At 58.5% G+C, this 15,426-nt stretch overlaps 2 protein-coding genes and 1 non-coding gene across 10 annotated transcripts, besides 12 other annotated features; all 3 read left to right on the forward strand.

Annotated features, from left to right (window-relative positions):
* On the forward strand, positions 940-13,234 carry PRMT1 (protein arginine methyltransferase 1). Of its 8 annotated transcripts, none has more exons than XM_047438743.1 (12): positions 940-1,047; positions 1,133-1,226; positions 4,659-4,712; positions 5,274-5,375; positions 6,697-6,852; positions 6,983-7,046; positions 8,714-8,856; positions 9,541-9,628; positions 9,709-9,824; positions 10,880-11,030; positions 11,392-11,513; positions 12,949-13,234. In XM_047438743.1, the coding sequence occupies exons 3-12, from the start codon at positions 4,686-4,688 to the stop codon at positions 13,030-13,032; spliced, it is 1,053 nt and encodes a 350-aa protein (XP_047294699.1). In that variant the 5' UTR covers positions 940-1,047; positions 1,133-1,226; positions 4,659-4,685; the 3' UTR covers positions 13,033-13,234. The 8 variants fall into 8 exon arrangements, 7 of the variants coding, with proteins under 7 accessions (XP_047294699.1, XP_047294698.1, NP_001527.3 ...); NR_033397.5 differs by lacking the exons at positions 940-1,047; positions 1,133-1,226 and adding exons at positions 2,058-2,103; positions 4,927-5,040 and having other exon boundaries at positions 4,659-4,716; XM_047438742.1 differs by having other exon boundaries at positions 940-1,226.
* Positions 1,543-1,692: an enhancer, noted in NCBI's record as "active region_14954". NCBI's record gives its function as "activates an Ori minimal core promoter by ATAC-STARR-seq in GM12878 lymphoblastoid cells {active_cell/tissue: GM12878}" and the evidence as "EXISTENCE:reporter gene assay evidence [ECO:0000049][PMID:35858748]".
* Positions 1,697-2,428: an enhancer, noted in NCBI's record as "H3K27ac hESC enhancer chr19:50180167-50180898 (GRCh37/hg19 assembly coordinates)". NCBI's record gives its function as "activates a minimal SCP1, AML or CMV promoter by ChIP-STARR-seq in naive and primed H9 embryonic stem cells {active_cell/tissue: H9 hESC(naive and primed)}" and the evidence as "EXISTENCE:reporter gene assay evidence [ECO:0000049][PMID:30033119]".
* Positions 1,697-2,552: a biological region, named in NCBI's record as "H3K27ac hESC enhancer GRCh37_chr19:50180167-50180898".
* Positions 2,273-2,552: a silencer, noted in NCBI's record as "silent region_10930". NCBI's record gives its function as "represses an Ori minimal core promoter by ATAC-STARR-seq in GM12878 lymphoblastoid cells {active_cell/tissue: GM12878}" and the evidence as "EXISTENCE:reporter gene assay evidence [ECO:0000049][PMID:35858748]".
* Positions 5,333-5,702: a silencer, noted in NCBI's record as "silent region_10931". NCBI's record gives its function as "represses an Ori minimal core promoter by ATAC-STARR-seq in GM12878 lymphoblastoid cells {active_cell/tissue: GM12878}" and the evidence as "EXISTENCE:reporter gene assay evidence [ECO:0000049][PMID:35858748]".
* Positions 5,333-5,713: a biological region, named in NCBI's record as "ReSE screen-validated silencer GRCh37_chr19:50184019-50184183".
* Positions 5,549-5,713: a silencer, noted in NCBI's record as "fragment chr19:50184019-50184183 (GRCh37/hg19 assembly coordinates)". NCBI's record gives its function as "represses an EF-1alpha promoter that drives an FKBP-Casp9 reporter gene in an ReSE screen in K562 erythroleukemia cells {active_cell/tissue: K562}" and the evidence as "EXISTENCE:reporter gene assay evidence [ECO:0000049][PMID:32094911]".
* Positions 6,904-6,982, forward strand: MIR5088 (microRNA 5088). Its single transcript, NR_049811.2, has one exon. It is a non-coding gene; the product is annotated as a microRNA 5088 (primary transcript).
* Positions 9,398-9,457: a silencer, noted in NCBI's record as "silent region_10932". NCBI's record gives its function as "represses an Ori minimal core promoter by ATAC-STARR-seq in GM12878 lymphoblastoid cells {active_cell/tissue: GM12878}" and the evidence as "EXISTENCE:reporter gene assay evidence [ECO:0000049][PMID:35858748]".
* Positions 9,488-9,567: a silencer, noted in NCBI's record as "silent region_10933". NCBI's record gives its function as "represses an Ori minimal core promoter by ATAC-STARR-seq in GM12878 lymphoblastoid cells {active_cell/tissue: GM12878}" and the evidence as "EXISTENCE:reporter gene assay evidence [ECO:0000049][PMID:35858748]".
* Positions 11,980-12,721: an enhancer, noted in NCBI's record as "H3K4me1 hESC enhancer chr19:50190450-50191191 (GRCh37/hg19 assembly coordinates)". NCBI's record gives its function as "activates a minimal SCP1, AML or CMV promoter by ChIP-STARR-seq in primed H9 embryonic stem cells {active_cell/tissue: H9 hESC(primed)}" and the evidence as "EXISTENCE:reporter gene assay evidence [ECO:0000049][PMID:30033119]".
* Positions 12,722-13,462: an enhancer, noted in NCBI's record as "H3K4me1 hESC enhancer chr19:50191192-50191932 (GRCh37/hg19 assembly coordinates)". NCBI's record gives its function as "activates a minimal SCP1, AML or CMV promoter by ChIP-STARR-seq in primed H9 embryonic stem cells {active_cell/tissue: H9 hESC(primed)}" and the evidence as "EXISTENCE:reporter gene assay evidence [ECO:0000049][PMID:30033119]".
* On the forward strand, positions 14,381-15,362 carry ADM5 (adrenomedullin 5 (putative)). The gene is made up of 2 exons (NM_001101340.2): positions 14,381-14,698; positions 14,893-15,362. Exons 1-2 carry the CDS (start codon positions 14,625-14,627, stop codon positions 15,278-15,280), a joined length of 462 nt encoding a protein of 153 aa, NP_001094810.1. The 5' UTR covers positions 14,381-14,624; the 3' UTR covers positions 15,281-15,362.
* Positions 14,771-14,840: a silencer, noted in NCBI's record as "silent region_10934". NCBI's record gives its function as "represses an Ori minimal core promoter by ATAC-STARR-seq in GM12878 lymphoblastoid cells {active_cell/tissue: GM12878}" and the evidence as "EXISTENCE:reporter gene assay evidence [ECO:0000049][PMID:35858748]".

Here is a 15,426-nt window from a genome sequence, read left to right on the forward strand (position 1 = left end):
TCTTGGTTTGTTTAGTGCCATGCTTTTCAATTTTTTTTTTTTTTTTTAAAGTTAGAGTCTCGGTCTGTCGCTCGAGCTGGAGTGCAATGGCTTCATCCTGGCTCACTGCAACCTCCACCTCCTGAGCTCAAGCGATTCTCCTGCCTCAGCCTCCCAAGTAGCTGGGATTACAGGCGTGTGCCACCAGTCCTGGCTAATTTTTTTATTTTTATTTTTATTTATTTTATTATTTTTTGAGATGGAGTCTCGCTGTGTCGCCTAGGCTGGAGTGCAGTGGCACCATCTCAGCTCACTGCAACCTCTGCCTCCCGGGTTCACGTGATTCTCCTGCCTCAGCCTCTGGAGCAGCTGGGACTACAGGCGCCCACCACCACACCCGGCTAATTTTTGTTTTTTTAGTAGAGACGGGGGTTTCACCATATTGGCTAGGCTGGTCTCGAACTCCTGAGCTTGTGATCCGCCCACCTCAGCCTTCCAAAATGCTGGGATTACAGGCGTGAGTCACCGCGCCCGGCCAAATTTTTTTTTTTTTTTTTTTTGAGACAAGAGTCTCGCTCTGTCACCCAGGCTGGAGTGCAGTGGCGCGATCTCAGCTCACTGCAAGCTCCGCCTCCCGGGTTCACGCCATCCTCCTGCCTAAGCCTCCACGCCCGGCTAATTTTTTGTATTTTTAGTAGAGACGGGGGTTTCACCATGTTAGCCAGGATGGTCTCGACCTCCTGACCTTGTGATCCGCCCGCCTCGGTCTCCCAAAATGCTGGGATTACAGGCGTGAGCCACCGCGCCCGGCCGCCTGGCGTAATTTTTGTATTTTTAATAGAAATGGGGGTTTCACCATGTTGCCCAGACTGGTCTCGAACTCCTGATGTCAAGTGATCCGCCTGCCTCCGCCTCCTAAAGTGCTGGAATTACACCCGTGAGCCATCGCGCCCGAACCCTATTGTAAATTTTAAGTCTCAGGCGTTTGCCAGCGGCACGCCAGAGAGTATAGCCTGCGCGGAGGCCCAGAAACCAAAGAGCGAGCTCATTCCGGGATTGGAGAGAAGTGTGAGCAGAGGGAAGTAGAGGGATCGGGGAGAGGAGGGGCAGGACCCACGCATTCGGCCCTTTGCATTCAGCTTCATTCAACTAGGAACTTTTTCTGCAAATCAAGGAAAGCTTCCCGGAGGAAGTGGTGCCTAAGCTGTGCTCTGATTCACGTTTAGAAGCTGACCAGACAAAGAGAGGTGGGCGTTCCTGGCAGGGGGAGGGACTTGGCAAAAACCAAGTGGCTTGAGAGGGGTTGATGGTTTTAAAAAACTTGGAATGATTATGTCAAGGGCTAGGGATTTAATGTGTTGACGACGGACTCCTATTCCTCACTTGCTTCGGGACCCCAGCTATGCCCTTCCTCTCTCTGGGCCTCTCACCGATTCCGTTTTTCCCCCAGGTAATGAGCACAAGCTCCCTTTTTCCTCCAGACTCCCCCCGGGTTGGGAGGATCCACCGAGTGGACGAGGAGTGATAATTCCTTTGAGCCAATCGTTGGTGCCTGAAGCCCCGCCTTCTTCCCTACCCGTGGGCCAATTGCCGTGTTCTCCTTGAGGCCGGCCGCTTGGCGAGGGTGGGCCAAAGGCTGCGTGACGTCGCTTCCGGATAAACCAATGGCAGCGATTAGGAGGCGGGTCGTTTTGGTGATGGACAGGTGTTTCAAGACGCCCCTTTAGCGCGGGGCTCCCCGGGAAGCTTTGAGGCGGTGCTGGGTGTAAAGGGGAGGGCATTCCTGGTGGATTTTGCCCAATCACCAGTCGCGCTTCTTGCAATAGACGGGCAGTTTTCCCCATCCCGGGTCGACTTGAGGGGGCGGGATTCTGGACGCCAGAGTTGGCAAACCCCTGACCTATGATGGACGTATTCTCTAGCCAATTACTAGACGGTATTCTCAGACGGGCCGCCTCCATTGCCAATGAAATCTTCCAGCGGGGTCGCGGTAGGCGGGCCGTGGACCCTCTGGTATAAGGCGGTCCCGGGGGAGTGAGGAGAAAGGGGGGGTCTTGGCGGCCGGAGGAGGAGTAGGTGCGGGTGAAGATGGCGGCAGCCGAGGCCGCGAACTGCATCATGGAGGTGAGCGCTTGGAGCGCCGCCGTGGGCGGGAGGCGGCTTTGGGTCGGTGTTTCACGCCTCTGTGGTGGGGAAAGGGCTCTAAGTTGGCGATATGGGGTTGGAGGTCCCCCGCCGCACACGGGGGCGCCGCACGTTCCACATCCGGGGATATCGTTTGAGGTGACGGCTCCCTAGCTTCCAAGGGCCTTCGGCATCCGGCCTAGCGGAGGGTCTTATCCCCCCTCCCACGTGGAGGAGGGCTGGGGGCGCTTCCGGCCAGGCCCCCACGTGGCCGCTGCGCGGTGGGTGGGGAGGGGGTGTGCCGAGTCCAGTGGCCCGGCGGGCTCCACGTGCGGGACAAAGGCCCCGCCCCCGGCCGGGGAGGGGCGCCCAGGGGGGCGGGGAGGGGGTCCGACCCTCCTGACGCCCCCAGCCCTCCTCCCCGGGGACCTGGGCACACGCCGTGGGGTGTGATCGACCTGGGGCCCTCCACGATGTGGGGAGTCTCTTGGGAGGAGCAGTGCTTCTCAGCCCTTTACCAACCTCCTTCCGAGCTCCGGGGGCATCTGTTGGGATATCGGACCCGGTTTTGTGCGTTCTGGGTTAGGGACTGGAGGAAAACCAAGAATGGGGTCCCCCGCCGACCCCGTTTCCCCTCCCAGAATTCTCCCCCTCGCCCAGGGCTTTAGGAGTTGGGGGATGGGGCATGCCCCTGTGACCTCCCTCTGGGTGGTGGTGGGGCATCTAGATAGAGATTTTCCCATTAATAGGCGCCGTGCACCCCCTTGTGGCCATTTCTGGGTGTGTGGGAGGGACATCTTTTTCATGGGGCGTGTCCTGAAGCCCACCTCCCCTCGGATTTCTTCCTGGCGGGCGGAGGGAGGAGGGTATGTCCGCTGGGAAGGAGTTGTGGGAAATATGTAGGCTGAGAGCTTTACCCTACTGGAGCCGTTTATCTCCCCCGGGTCTTTGTGAGGGTGCGAGATGACCTCCTTCTTCCTGAAGCCCTGTGCAGGGTCCTGAGCCCTGGGGTCCTGAGAGTGGGTGCCTGAAATGGTTTCGAGTGAGGTTTGGTTCTCGTGCAGCCATGTGGGGGAGGTTTCAGTCTTGCGTTTCAAGCCCTCTGGGGCTGGGGTTGTCTGGCGGTAGTTTTCAGTGGTATTGAGAAATAGGCCCGAGTGGGAAACCCCCTCAGCACCTTTCTTCTTATAGGCATCCCCGCTAGCTTGGGAGAGCTGGAGGGAGGGTGCTTGGAGCCTAGTAGGTCATGGCCTGTGACGTGGCCCTTCTTGGAGACTTGGATAGTGGTCACATCTGGAAGAGATGTAATCTGATGGGGCCTCTGTCCTTCCACCCCTTACCTATGGCATTGGCTGGAGGGGCAGGTCAGCTCTCAGCTGTCAGGATGCAGCTCCCAGGGGTCACTGTAATGACTTCCCACCCTCTTGGCTGTCTCCTGCACCTGGGGCTCTATGGATGGAGGAAATAACTTTCCCAGAGGTGGCCTCAGGCTTGGCCGCACCTGGAAGTCTTCAGGGCCTGGGATGGGTGTCTGAATGGGGGCGATGGCCTGACTCCCCAAGCCACTTTTTTTTTTTTTTTTTTTGAGACGGAGTCTTACTCTGTCACCCAGGCTGGAGTGCAATGGCTTGATCTCGGCTCATTGCAACCTCCGCCTCCCGGGTTCAAGCGATTCTCCTGCTTCAGCCTCCTGAGTAGCTGGGATTACAGGCACCCGCCACCAGGCCCAGCTAATTTTTGTATTTTTAGTAGAGATAGGGTTTCACCATGTTGGTCAGGCTGGTCTCAAACTCCTGACCTCAGGTGACCCACCTGCCTCGGCCTCCCAAAGTGCCGGGATTGCAGGTGTGAGCCACCGTGCCCCCAAGCCACTTTCTGGAGTCCTCTCATTCTTAGAGGGTCCAGGAGCTGCCCATCTTCCCTGGGACCCTACCTTCGTGGGCAGAGGGTCATAAGGGAGGGGGTTGGTTCCAGCTGGTTTTGTTTGGGGCTCCTGAGTCCAAGGCAGGAGCTGGGGTCTGGGGTACTAGCTCTGGGGAAGTACCCGTGTGCCACACCTCTATTCTGGAATCCTCTCAGACATGAGACTGGTTTGCAGAGGTGGCAGATGCCCTGTGGGCATATCCTGCCAGCCCCGCTCCCTTCTGCTATTCATGGCACCCTAGGATAGGGGTGTGTGTGTCAGGAAGTGTCACCTAATCTGGAGGAGATTAGGTGATGAGAGGGAGCGACAGCTGGCGGTGGTGGGTGCCAATTCCCCTGGCCTGGATGGGGGAGGTGTGTGGTCAGCTGCCTGGCCAGAGAGGGGCAGCGTGGGGGTGGGCCACCATCTCTCCAGCCACAGCTGGGATAGGAGACCCCCCTTTCTTCTCCCCTCACTTTTCCCACCCTTTCTTAAACACCCCACCTCATTACTTGCCCCCTTCGCCACCACTCCCCACCAAGAAGGAGAATTGCTGGAAACCCACCCCCCGGCCAGAGCCCAGGTTCCGCCACCCAGCCCTCCCACAGCCACTCCCAGTAGCTAATCCTTTTTCCCTGTTACTCTCTCCTAGAATTTTGTAGCCACCTTGGCTAATGGGATGAGCCTCCAGCCGCCTCTTGAAGAAGTAAATATCCTTTTGTGAGACCCCTCCCCACCCTGACCTCCACATCAATATATCTTGCCACACATCTGGCCCTTTCTTGAGGTCTAACCATACCCCTCTTGCTTCAAACCAGTTTACCCCAGGCCCCCAGACACTTAGTAGCAACCCCTCCAGGTTCACAGCCCCCGCTGGCCTCCCCCAGTATCGCCGCTACTTCCTTAACTCCACCTCCAACCCCCCTTTGCCCTTCCCTGTGTCTGCCCCCATTTTCCTTCCCCTCCCCTCCCCAGCTGTGGGCTGAGCTAGAGACGGGGTCAGAGAGACTGGAGAGATGGTAGGCGTGGCTGAGGTATCGGGGTGCTCCCCTGGATGGTGCTCTGGGGGGGTCCTGGAAGTGGAAAATGGGGTTGTTAGGTTTTGGGGTTCCTGGGGGGGCAAGATGGCAGGCGGGGGCTGTAGGGTTGTCATGGTATGATTTTGGGGGTTCTATACTACTCTTCAGGGAAAAGTAGGGCGCTGGAGGTTTAAGAGGCTGTGGGGAGCCCCCAGATCTGACCCATGATCCCATCGGCCCCCTCCCAGGTGTCCTGTGGCCAGGCGGAAAGCAGTGAGAAGCCCAACGCTGAGGACATGACATCCAAAGATTACTACTTTGACTCCTACGCACACTTTGGCATCCACGAGGTCAGTGGGGACAGTCCCCAAGGCCCCAATCTTAGGGGGGCTTAAATGTTGGGGAAGGGGTGGAACCTGTTTTCCCACGCATGCGCACTGCTTCCCCTGGCCGCAGGCCGCCCCCCTGCCCCTCTGCTGCGCACTTCCTAGGGTCGCCTCGCCAAGCCGTTGCCTTGGAGACCGAGGTTAGCCTGAATCTCTGCAGGGGCCTCGCGCCGAAGGCTGGGGTGGGAGAGCGCATGCGTGCCTGGGGCCTTAGCCAGAGGTCGGGCAGGGCCCACTGGTCTCTGCCGCCCTCTAGTGACCGGCGGTGGGACTGCGCCCCGGCTGCTCCCGCCCTAACAGCTTCTGCACACTTCAGATCTGACTGAAGACACTGAAATCCCAGAACGAAGCTGGGGTGGCATTCTAAGGAATTTTCTTTTCCCCCTGAGGCCTTTTTCATAAAATTGTGGCAAAATATGCATAAAATTGCCATTTTTTATTTTTAGAGACGGTCTCGCTCTGTCGCCCAGGCTAGAGTGCATTGGTGCAATCATGGCTCACTGCAGCCTCGACCTCCCCGGCTCAGGTGATCCCCCCACTTCCACTTTCGGAGTAGCTGGGACCACAGGCGCGCGCCACCACGCCCAGCTGATGTTCTTATTTTTCTGTAGAGATAATCTTGCCTTGTTGCCCAGGCTGGTCTCAAACTCTTGGGATCAAGTGATCCTCCGGCTTTGGCCTCCTGAGGTGCTGGGATTACAGGCGTGAGCCACCGCTCCCAGCCTGAGGACTTTTAAAAGCCAGGGTTCACTGGTTCTTAGGTAGCAGTGGTGAAGTCCGGCCAAGATTGGAGTTTAGACCATCTAATCTGATTTTTTAAAAAGGGAAACTGGCTGGGCGCAGTGGTTCACGCCTGTAATCCCAGCACTTTAGGGGGCTGAGGTGGGTGGATCACCTGAGGTCAGGAGTTGAAGACCAACCTGGGCAATATGGTGAAACCCCATCTGTATGAAAAATACAAAAATTAGCCGGGCATGGTGGTGTGCACCTATAATCTCAGCTACTTGGGAGGCTGAGGCAGGAGAATCACTTGAACCCAGGAGGCGGAGGTTGCAGTGAGCTGAGATTGCACCATTGCACTCCAGCCTGGGCAACAGAGTGAGATTCCATCTCAAAAAATAAAATAAAATAAAAATAAATAAATGAATAAATATAAAAGGGAAACTGAGGTGCATGGAAGAAAGCGAGAGGGCCGAGCTCTGGCCCTCCGAGCTCTCAGGACACGCTGTTCTCCAGCTGGGGATATGGGGCCCCTCACGGCGTCTCTGTGCCATTCTTGCCCTAGGAGATGCTGAAGGACGAGGTGCGCACCCTCACTTACCGCAACTCCATGTTTCATAACCGGCACCTCTTCAAGGACAAGGTGGTGCTGGACGTCGGCTCGGGCACCGGCATCCTCTGCATGTTTGCTGCCAAGGCCGGGGCCCGCAAGGTCATCGGGGTGAGTCTCCAGGGTGGCCAGGCGGGGCCGGGCCTGAGGGATGGAGGGGAGCCCATCAGGGCTCAGGGATTGGATGGAGGTGATGGGGGCAGGGGATGGGTCTCACCCTCCCTTCTTCCTGGGCCCTCAGATCGAGTGTTCCAGTATCTCTGATTATGCGGTGAAGATCGTCAAAGCCAACAAGTTAGACCACGGTGAGCCCAGAAAGAGGATGGGTTTGTGGGAGTGGAGGGGGTGATGCCCTGCTTCCCCAGGGCCCTCTGAAGAGCAGTGGGGTCTACAGATGACCACAGATTCAGCAGCTCCCAACCCATGGTCTTTTGGGCTGCCGGCCGCCTGAGAATCTGAGTGTCAAAATCACAGGCTTAGCACCGCAGTCTTAAAATTAGGGCAAGAAGCACTCTCTAGTTTCTTGAATGAGTAATAGAGTCACGTGGTTGGCCACGGAAGGCCCACAGTGAGAAGCCTTCCCTGTTTCCCAGCTGCCCTCCTCTGAGTTTAACCAACACTAACTTCCAGAGAAGTCTGGACCTACAAACACATACATACGTAAATGCATTTACATTCTCGTGCATAATTTTCACGCCAGTAGCATTTCATACCAGCCTCTTGCCCTTGGCTTCTTACACCTGCTTGTCATGTCGTTTAACACTTTCCAGGATGTTGCGGCATCCGCTCTTTTGCATGACCACCATCATAGGTACATCCCCAGCATTTTTTTTTTTTTTTTTTTTTTTTTGAGATGGAGTCTCACTCTTTTGCCAGGCTGGAGGGCAGTGGCACGATCTCAGCTCACTGCAAGCTCCGCCTCCTGGGTTCAAGTGATTCTCCTGCCTCAGCCTCCCAATTAGCTGGGATTACAGGCGCCAGCCACCACGCCCGGCTAATTTTTTTGTTTTTTTAGTAGAGACGGGGTTTCACCGTGTTAGCCAGGATGGTCTCGATCTCCTGACCTCGTGATCTGCCTGCTTGCCTTGGCCTCCCAAAGTGCTGGGATTACAGGTGTGAACTTTTTTTTTTTTTGTATTTTTTTAGTTGAGACATGGTTTCACCATGTTGGCCAGGCTGGTCTTGAACTCCTGACCTCAGGTGATCCATCCACTTTGGCCTCCCAAAGTGCTGAGATTACAGGCGTGAGCCACCGTGCCATCCTGAAGTGATTTTTAAAAAGAGATTATTATAATGAACGCACGAGTCCATTTGAAGCAAATTCCCACTGTGATGTAATTTTCCCGGTAAATGCGTCTGCTTGTGTCTTATCTAATAGATAAAGGCTGTTTTGAGAATGTGATCATGCTGTTACTTATTATATCAAAACCACCCAGTTAAAAACAAAATCGCGGCCGGGCACAGTGGCTCACGCCTGTAATCCCAACATTTTGGGAGGCCGAGGCGGGCGGATCGTGAGGTCAGGAGATCAAGACCATCCTGGCCAACACGGTGACACCCTGTCTCTACTAAAAATACAAAAAATTAGCCGGACTTGGTGGCTGGCACCTGTAGTCCCAGCTACTCGGGAGGCTGAAGCAGGAGAATGGCGTGAACCCGGGAGGCGGAGGTTGCAGTGAGCTGAGATCACGCCACTGCACTCCAGCCTGGGTGACAGAGCAAGACTCCGTCTCAAAAAAAAAAAAAAAAAAAAAGTAACATCACCTGATACCCAGTCCACATAAAATTTCTGCTCCTGCCTCAAAAATGTCCAGAACGATGTATGAATTTTAAAACTGTTAGAAGGGTTCATGGCTTCTGCTCACGCAGTTCTCTGAACTGAAGTGGGGTCCCCAGGCTCTAGCCCCCGGGGGAGGTGAGGTGAGGGGCAGGCCTCCCGGGGGCTGACGTGGCCACCCTTGTCCGCCCGCAGTGGTGACCATCATCAAGGGGAAGGTGGAGGAGGTGGAGCTCCCAGTGGAGAAGGTGGACATCATCATCAGCGAGTGGATGGGCTACTGCCTCTTCTACGAGTCCATGCTCAACACCGTGCTCTATGCCCGGGACAAGTGGCTGGTGAGGCCCCAGCGGGACGGGTGCAGCTCGCGTGGGCTGGGGTCCAGGTAGAAGACGAAAACCACGCTCAATTTTTCCCACAGACGGGACTTACTGTGGGGGCTTAGCTGCAAGGTGTTAGAAAGCCACAGCCCAAGCCAGGTGTGACAGACCCTGGAGGGAGATGGTGCGATGTGGGGGAGGTCGTAGGAACAGGAAATCCGTAGCGGCGCAATAGCCCAGGTCCTTAGGCCCCAGCAGGCCTCCCCGGGAGAGGTGAGGTGACGGAGAGGTGGATGAAGCATACGGAGGGGCAGCCAGGGCAGGTGTGCCCTTGCTGCGTGTGGAACAGCAGGGAGGCCCGTGTGGAAGGAGGGTCTAGAACGGCAGCAGGAGGAGGAGTGGAGGTGAGGGGTGACAGGGCGTGTGCAGATTTTGTGGAGGCTTATGGGACCCCGTGCTTTTCCTCTCAGAGCAGCTAGGGAGGGTCTGAGGATCCCCAGAACCTCCAAGGGCCGGGAGCTGACTGGGGTGCCCCTGGGTGCCCTCTGGCGGCCGTGTGGGAAATAGACCAGGGGGCGAGGGGTGAGTGCCGCTGCGACATGAGGGTGGCCCAGACCAGGGCAGGAGGCCACATCTTGGAGGCAAGACTCAGGGTAGTGTTGCCAGGCCCCACCCTTCATGCCTCGCCCTGCCCCTCTGTAGGCGCCCGATGGCCTCATCTTCCCAGACCGGGCCACGCTGTATGTGACGGCCATCGAGGACCGGCAGTACAAAGACTACAAGATCCACTGTGAGCGCGGCCCGGGAGCTGGCGGGCGGGGCCTCGGGTGGGCTGCTGCGGGCTCACCCCCTCCCTGCCTGCCTCCCCAGGGTGGGAGAACGTGTATGGCTTCGACATGTCTTGCATCAAAGATGTGGCCATTAAGGAGCCCCTAGTGGATGTCGTGGACCCCAAACAGCTGGTCACCAACGCCTGCCTCATAAAGGTGAGGGGGTGGGCATGGCCAGGTGCCCCCTGGGTTGAAACCAAAGAGAGGCCATCACCTGGCCCTGGCATGGGACTTTGGGGCCCAGAATGTTGGCCTGAGGTCTCAGAGCCTGATCTGCCAGCCAGAGGTGGTGCTAGAGGCCCAGGAAAGACACTTCGTCCTTTAAATATCTTTGTGAGCGCTGCTGTGTGAGAACCATGCTTGGCACTTGGCTTCTGGCGGAGGAAACACCCAAAGCTGGCAGCTAAAGCCCACAGCCCATGCACGGAAAGGCAGGACCCCAGGGCGATGAGCGGATGCACATGCACGCGGGCCACTGCAGAAGAGCACGGGGCCAGGCTGGGCTCCGAGATGTGCCTGAGGTCCCAGCTACTCGGGAGGATCACTTGGGCCTGGGAGTTCAAGGCTGCAGTGAGCTGTGATCACATCACTGCACTCCAGCTTTGGTGACAATGTTTTGTTTTGTTTTTTCCTTTTGTTTTTTTTTACTTCTGAGACCCTGTTTAAAAAAAAAAAATACGGCGATGAGTATTTGTTGAGCTGGGATGTGTGAGCCGGGTGAAGCTGGGTGGCTGACCGGGGGATCCTGTCGGGGAGGAGTAAGTTGTTGAGTGGGGGAGGAGAGGAGACTACAGGGGCAGGGACCCCACTCGGGCCACCCTCCTGAGAGCCAGGGGAACTGGCGCAGGGTTTAGGTTGGCATTTGTGTTGCCGTTTGAAGCCATCATGTTGTTGGACTTGTCAAGGGGTTGGGGAGACAGTGGAGTGGGGCGCCTGCATTCTAGGAGGTCTGGACAGAGTTAGGGTGGCACTGCCAGGTTTGGGTGTTGGAGAGGAGGGAGCAAGGAATCTGGGCTCGAACCCACATGGTTTATTGGGAGCCGGATAGGCAGGATGCAGAGTGAAGGAGGAGCCGAGGCTGGGTGCCAGTGAGGGAGGGCTAGCAGGAAGGGGACAGCGAGGTCACAGGCCCTCTGGGAGCTTAAGGGAGGGAGGAGGGGATGAAGCGAGGTGGGGACGCATCCCGGAGCTCGCCCTCTCATGTCCTGCAGGAGGTGGACATCTATACCGTCAAGGTGGAAGACCTGACCTTCACCTCCCCGTTCTGCCTGCAAGTGAAGCGGAATGACTACGTGCACGCCCTGGTGGCCTACTTCAACATCGAGTTCACACGCTGCCACAAGAGGACCGGCTTCTCCACCAGTGAGGCGGGGCCCACAGGGCTGGGGGCCGTTCCCGAGCCAGGGCGGAGGCGCACCCACGTAGTGGAGGGGGTGACAGAAACGGGCAGAAGGAACCATGGGGACACGCGTGTTCCAGTGTGAGCTCTGCCATGTAGCAGTCACGTGGCCTTGGGCAAGTGACCTGAGTGTGCAGTGCCTCAGTTTCCTCATCCACAAAAGGCTGACACGGTCCCTGTCTCCAAAGCTCAATGACAGGGAGGTGACTCGCGGATAGCAGTCCCATCAGCTGTCATGGGGGTGGGCATTCCGACAGAGGGAACGCAAGGGTGGGGTTGGGGGGGGCAGCAGGCCGAGGCCGGCTGACCCGCCCGCGCCCCCAGGCCCCGAGTCCCCGTACACGCACTGGAAGCAGACGGTGTTCTACATGGAGGACTACCTGACCGTGAAGACGGGCGAGGAGATCTTCGGCACCATCGGCATGCGGCCCAACGCCAAGAACAACGTGAGGCTCCGGGCAGCTGGGTGGGAGGGTGGCAGCTAGGGCGGGGAGTGTAGATTGGGGGGGGAGTGGTGGGGGAGGAATGGTGGCAGCGGGGGTAGGGGATGGGGGCAGCCGGGGTGGGGGATGGGGGCAGCTGGCGGGGGCGAGCACCTCTGCCTATTCCCGGGTCCCCAAGCCCCTCAGCCCCATGCCTGTCTACACAGCAGGATTGCTTGAGCATTCACCGGAAGTTATGGGCCTGGGGACCCAGGCTGAAACCCTGCCCTCCTGGTGCTTCCACTCTAGACAAGGGGGTCAGTGACATGGTGATGCCAGTTGGAGGTGACCTCTGTCAGGCTGGGAGCAGGGCAGACAGGTGTTGGTGTAGGTGGGCTCCAGGGCAAGAGGCAGCCCCCAGTAGAGTGCACGGGGTTTTCTAGCCCAGCTGGGAGGCATGAGAGGAGAAAGGCAGCTTTTTGTTTTCTGCTCCCCTTTCTTTTTCCTCCTGAGCACTTGGCAGGAGCTGCCATCACCTGAGATCAGGGGGCTTCCGGGGGAGCTGGGGGGGCTTCTCGGAGACAGGGTCTGGGCAGAGATCCAGTGTGGTGGGTCTGAGCAGGCAGGAGGATGGAAGGCTTGGAGCCTGGAGTCGCCGGGAGTGGTCTGGGTTGGAAAAGTGGGTCCCGGCCGATGGGTGCGAGGGTGGGTGGCACTCAGGGTAGTCATGGAATGTGGACCCTGGGACACCCACGAGCCTGTGACAGCAGCAGTTGTCAACTGGGCAGTTTTACTGCCCCCTCCGCTCCCCGCCCCCCCCCAGGACGTTTGCCACCGTCTGTGGAAACATTTGTGGTTGTCACTCCGGAGAAGGGGTGGTCCTGGCATCTGGTAGGTAGGGGCCAGGGGGCTGGTAAATGTCCTGCAGCCACAGGACCACCCCCTACAAAGACTCATGCAGCCCCCGGGACCACGGCACTAGCTGGGAAACGGATACTGGAGAGGGAGGAGGAGTCCTCGGGCGTTGGTGACTTTGTCTCATCTTCATGTGCTGGAGGGTATGGGGGGAGGAGAGGAAGTGGAGACAGCAGGCTGGACCATTGTGTTTCACTGGAACGTTTGCCTGAGGAGGAAGTGGGCTTGGGAGAGGTTTTCTTTTTTATGAAAGAAGCAATCACTGCATTGCTGATGGGAATCATCCTGATGGAGAAATCCAAGGGCAAGGGACAGCAGCTGGGCTCTACTCCTGAGTGAGTCTAGTGGGCTTGGGGGTGTCCATGTGGTGCTGTCCCTTGGCAGGGTCAGGGCAGCTGCTAGGGTGGGACCAGCAGTTGGGGTCTGCAGCGTGGAGATGGGCAGGAAGCTGGAGCCCGGCTCATCGTCGCATAGCCTGCCTGCACCCGCCCCCCGCCACCACCTCCTGGTGGGTTCCGCCCTCATGCCCCACCTCTCCCTGCAGCGGGACCTGGACTTCACCATCGACCTGGACTTCAAGGGCCAGCTGTGCGAGCTGTCCTGCTCCACCGACTACCGGATGCGCTGAGGCCCGGCTCTCCCGCCCTGCACGAGCCCAGGGGCTGAGCGTTCCTAGGCGGTTTCGGGGCTCCCCCTTCCTCTCCCTCCCTCCCGCAGAAGGGGGTTTTAGGGGCCTGGGCTGGGGGGATGGGGAGGGCACATCGTGACTGTGTTTTTCATAACTTATGTTTTTATATGGTTGCATTTACGCCAATAAATCCTCAGCTGGGGTCTGGCTTTGTTTCCTGGGGGCAAAGGAGGTTTGGGGTTCCTTTCGCAGGTACTGCAGTGCCAGCCTCAGCAGTGGGGGGACCGGCCTTGGCACCTGCTGGTGGCTGCCATTCTGTGGATCTGCGTCTCCCGTCCCCCGTCTCTAGGCCTCTTGCTCCCCTTCCTTGGTTCCTTCTCGGGGTCCCTGTCCTCCACAGCTGTCTCTCAGGGTCTTTGTCCAACTCTTTTCATCCCTCTCCTGGGTCTGCGCCCCTCCCCTCTGCGGTACCCGTGTCCTGCCTAGTAGGGGATGGGGGTGGCTTTCCAGCACAGCCAGCCCTCAAGTTTCCCAGAACAGTCTCCCCACCTCCCCCCAACACTCGACATTGTTCCTCTCTGGCTGTTTTTTCCTGTTCGGGTCCCTTCAAGGCCCAACTGTGCCCAGCCCTCTGCAGCTGGGGACACTGAGTGGGTTGGGGGTGTATGTTTGCAAGGATAGAATTTCTCATGGGGGAGTGGCCCTGCTTCCTCCCCTAGAATGGCTTGGGGCTTAGGGCTGGGGACTTGCCCTCCATGGAGGTCAGTGGGAGTTGCAGCTGTAAGGTGGCAGGGCCTACCCATCTTACAGAGGTGAAGACGAGGTCCCTCTGCCTCTGCTGCAGACATGGCGTCTGCACCCACCCTTCCACCCTCAGGGCCTGGCCACGGGGTCCTGGGTCCCCCACAATACTGTGCACTCGACCTGGTTGACCCAGGACACCCTCCTCGTTGAACAGCCCTGGCTACACCTGCTTCAGTGCAACTGGAGCCCTCACCGGCGAGTGCCTGACACCTCGGCCTTTTCTCTTCCGGAGGGGCGCTCCTCAGTGTGTTTGGGGTCTCCCTCGCTCCACGCCCTCCAGGGGGCCGCATGTGCACTTGCCCTGCATTGCCTGGCCCCCGAGGTTCCAGGGTCCCAACTGTCTACTAACCGGCTTCCCGACAGGGTGAGGGTGAGGTCGCATCTACAACCAGAGCCAGCGCTTCCCCGCCGCCACCCCTTTTCTTGGAATCCCGCTGCTTAGCTACCTGCGGGTGTCATTGGCCCCGCCCCATTTCCCCACGCTTTGAAGGGGGCGAGTCTCCACAGACCTCCTAGGGGGATAGACAGCAGCTGGTGTGACCCCACACACCCAGTGAGGTCTCTGGAGCCGCGGTGCGGGAAGCGGGGACCCGGGTTTGAATCCTGCCCCTCTGGTGTGGTGCGGCCTCTTCCCACAGACTTTTGGCCTCAGTGTTCCCCGCCTGGGAAGTGGGGACTGGCCCTGGTACCTGGCTCCAGAGCTGCACCCAGAGGCGATCAGCCCGGTGCGGGAACGGGGCGGGGTGGCCGCAACTACGGGCCACGGATCCTGACCCGCCCTGCCCACGATGACTATCCACATCCTCATCCTGCTGTTGCTCCTCGCCTTCTCCGCCCAAGGGGACCTGGACACTGCAGCCAGGTGAGAAACCCGGGTGGCAGCAGGGACAGGGCGGGAGGGAGACCGTAAAGGGCGAGCGCCCTCTCCCGGCCGCGGAACGGGCAGGTGATCTGTAAGCCTCCCCGCTGGTCTTGGAGTGCTTGGGTGCCCACCTCCATCACGCTCCATCTCTCAATTCGGTTTGAACCCGGTTTTCTCCCACGCTCCCTCTCCAGGCGAGGCCAGCACCAGGTCCCCCAGCACCGCGGGCACGTCTGCTACCTGGGCGTATGCCGGACCCACCGCCTGGCGGAGATCATATACTGGATTCGCTGTCTCCACCAAGGAGCCCTCGGGGAAGGCCAGCCACGAGCCCCAGGACCCCTACAGCTATGGGCGCCGCCGGTGGCGCGAGGCGGAAGCCCGGCTCGGTTCCCAGGATTCCGGCCTGCAGCGAGGGGGCTAGCGCAGTGCCCAGCTCGCTGGGTGACCTCGGGCACGGCTCGTCCCCTCCTCGGCTTCAGTTTGCCTATCTGTATGTTGGAGCTTCTACTCCACATTTCTTCTCCCCTAACTCCAGCCCCTGAAACCGTCTTCCCCAGTCCCTCCCCGGGCTGCGACTAGGTTGGACCTAGAAGCACACGGGACCAGGCTGGGCGAAGAACACTGACGCCCAGAGCCGAATAAACAAGAGTTCCGTGTTTCAGTCTCTGCTTCTCTGTACCTATTTCGACCTCTCAGTCGAGGCTGGGTCTCTAATATACCTTTCT

This window comes from Homo sapiens, chromosome 19 (assembly GCF_000001405.40).
Source record: "Homo sapiens chromosome 19, GRCh38.p14 Primary Assembly".
Lineage (NCBI taxonomy): Eukaryota > Metazoa > Chordata > Mammalia > Primates > Hominidae > Homo > Homo sapiens.

Excerpts from the sequence above, each read along its gene's own strand:
- PRMT1 (NM_001536.6), top strand. The coding sequence starts at position 2,068 with ATGGCGGCAGCCGAGGCCGCGAACTGCATCATGGAG. Across the intron at positions 9,629-9,708 it reads CAAAGACTACAAGATCCACT|GGTGGGAGAACGTGTATGGC; the intron begins GTGAGCGCGGCC and ends CTGCCTCCCCAG. Across the intron at positions 11,514-12,948 it reads GGCCCAACGCCAAGAACAAC|CGGGACCTGGACTTCACCAT; the intron begins GTGAGGCTCCGG and ends CTCTCCCTGCAG.
- ADM5 (NM_001101340.2), top strand. The coding sequence starts at position 14,625 with ATGACTATCCACATCCTCATCCTGCTGTTGCTCCTCGCCTTCTCCGCC. Across the intron at positions 14,699-14,892 it reads GACCTGGACACTGCAGCCAG|GCGAGGCCAGCACCAGGTCC; the intron begins GTGAGAAACCCG and ends CTCCCTCTCCAG.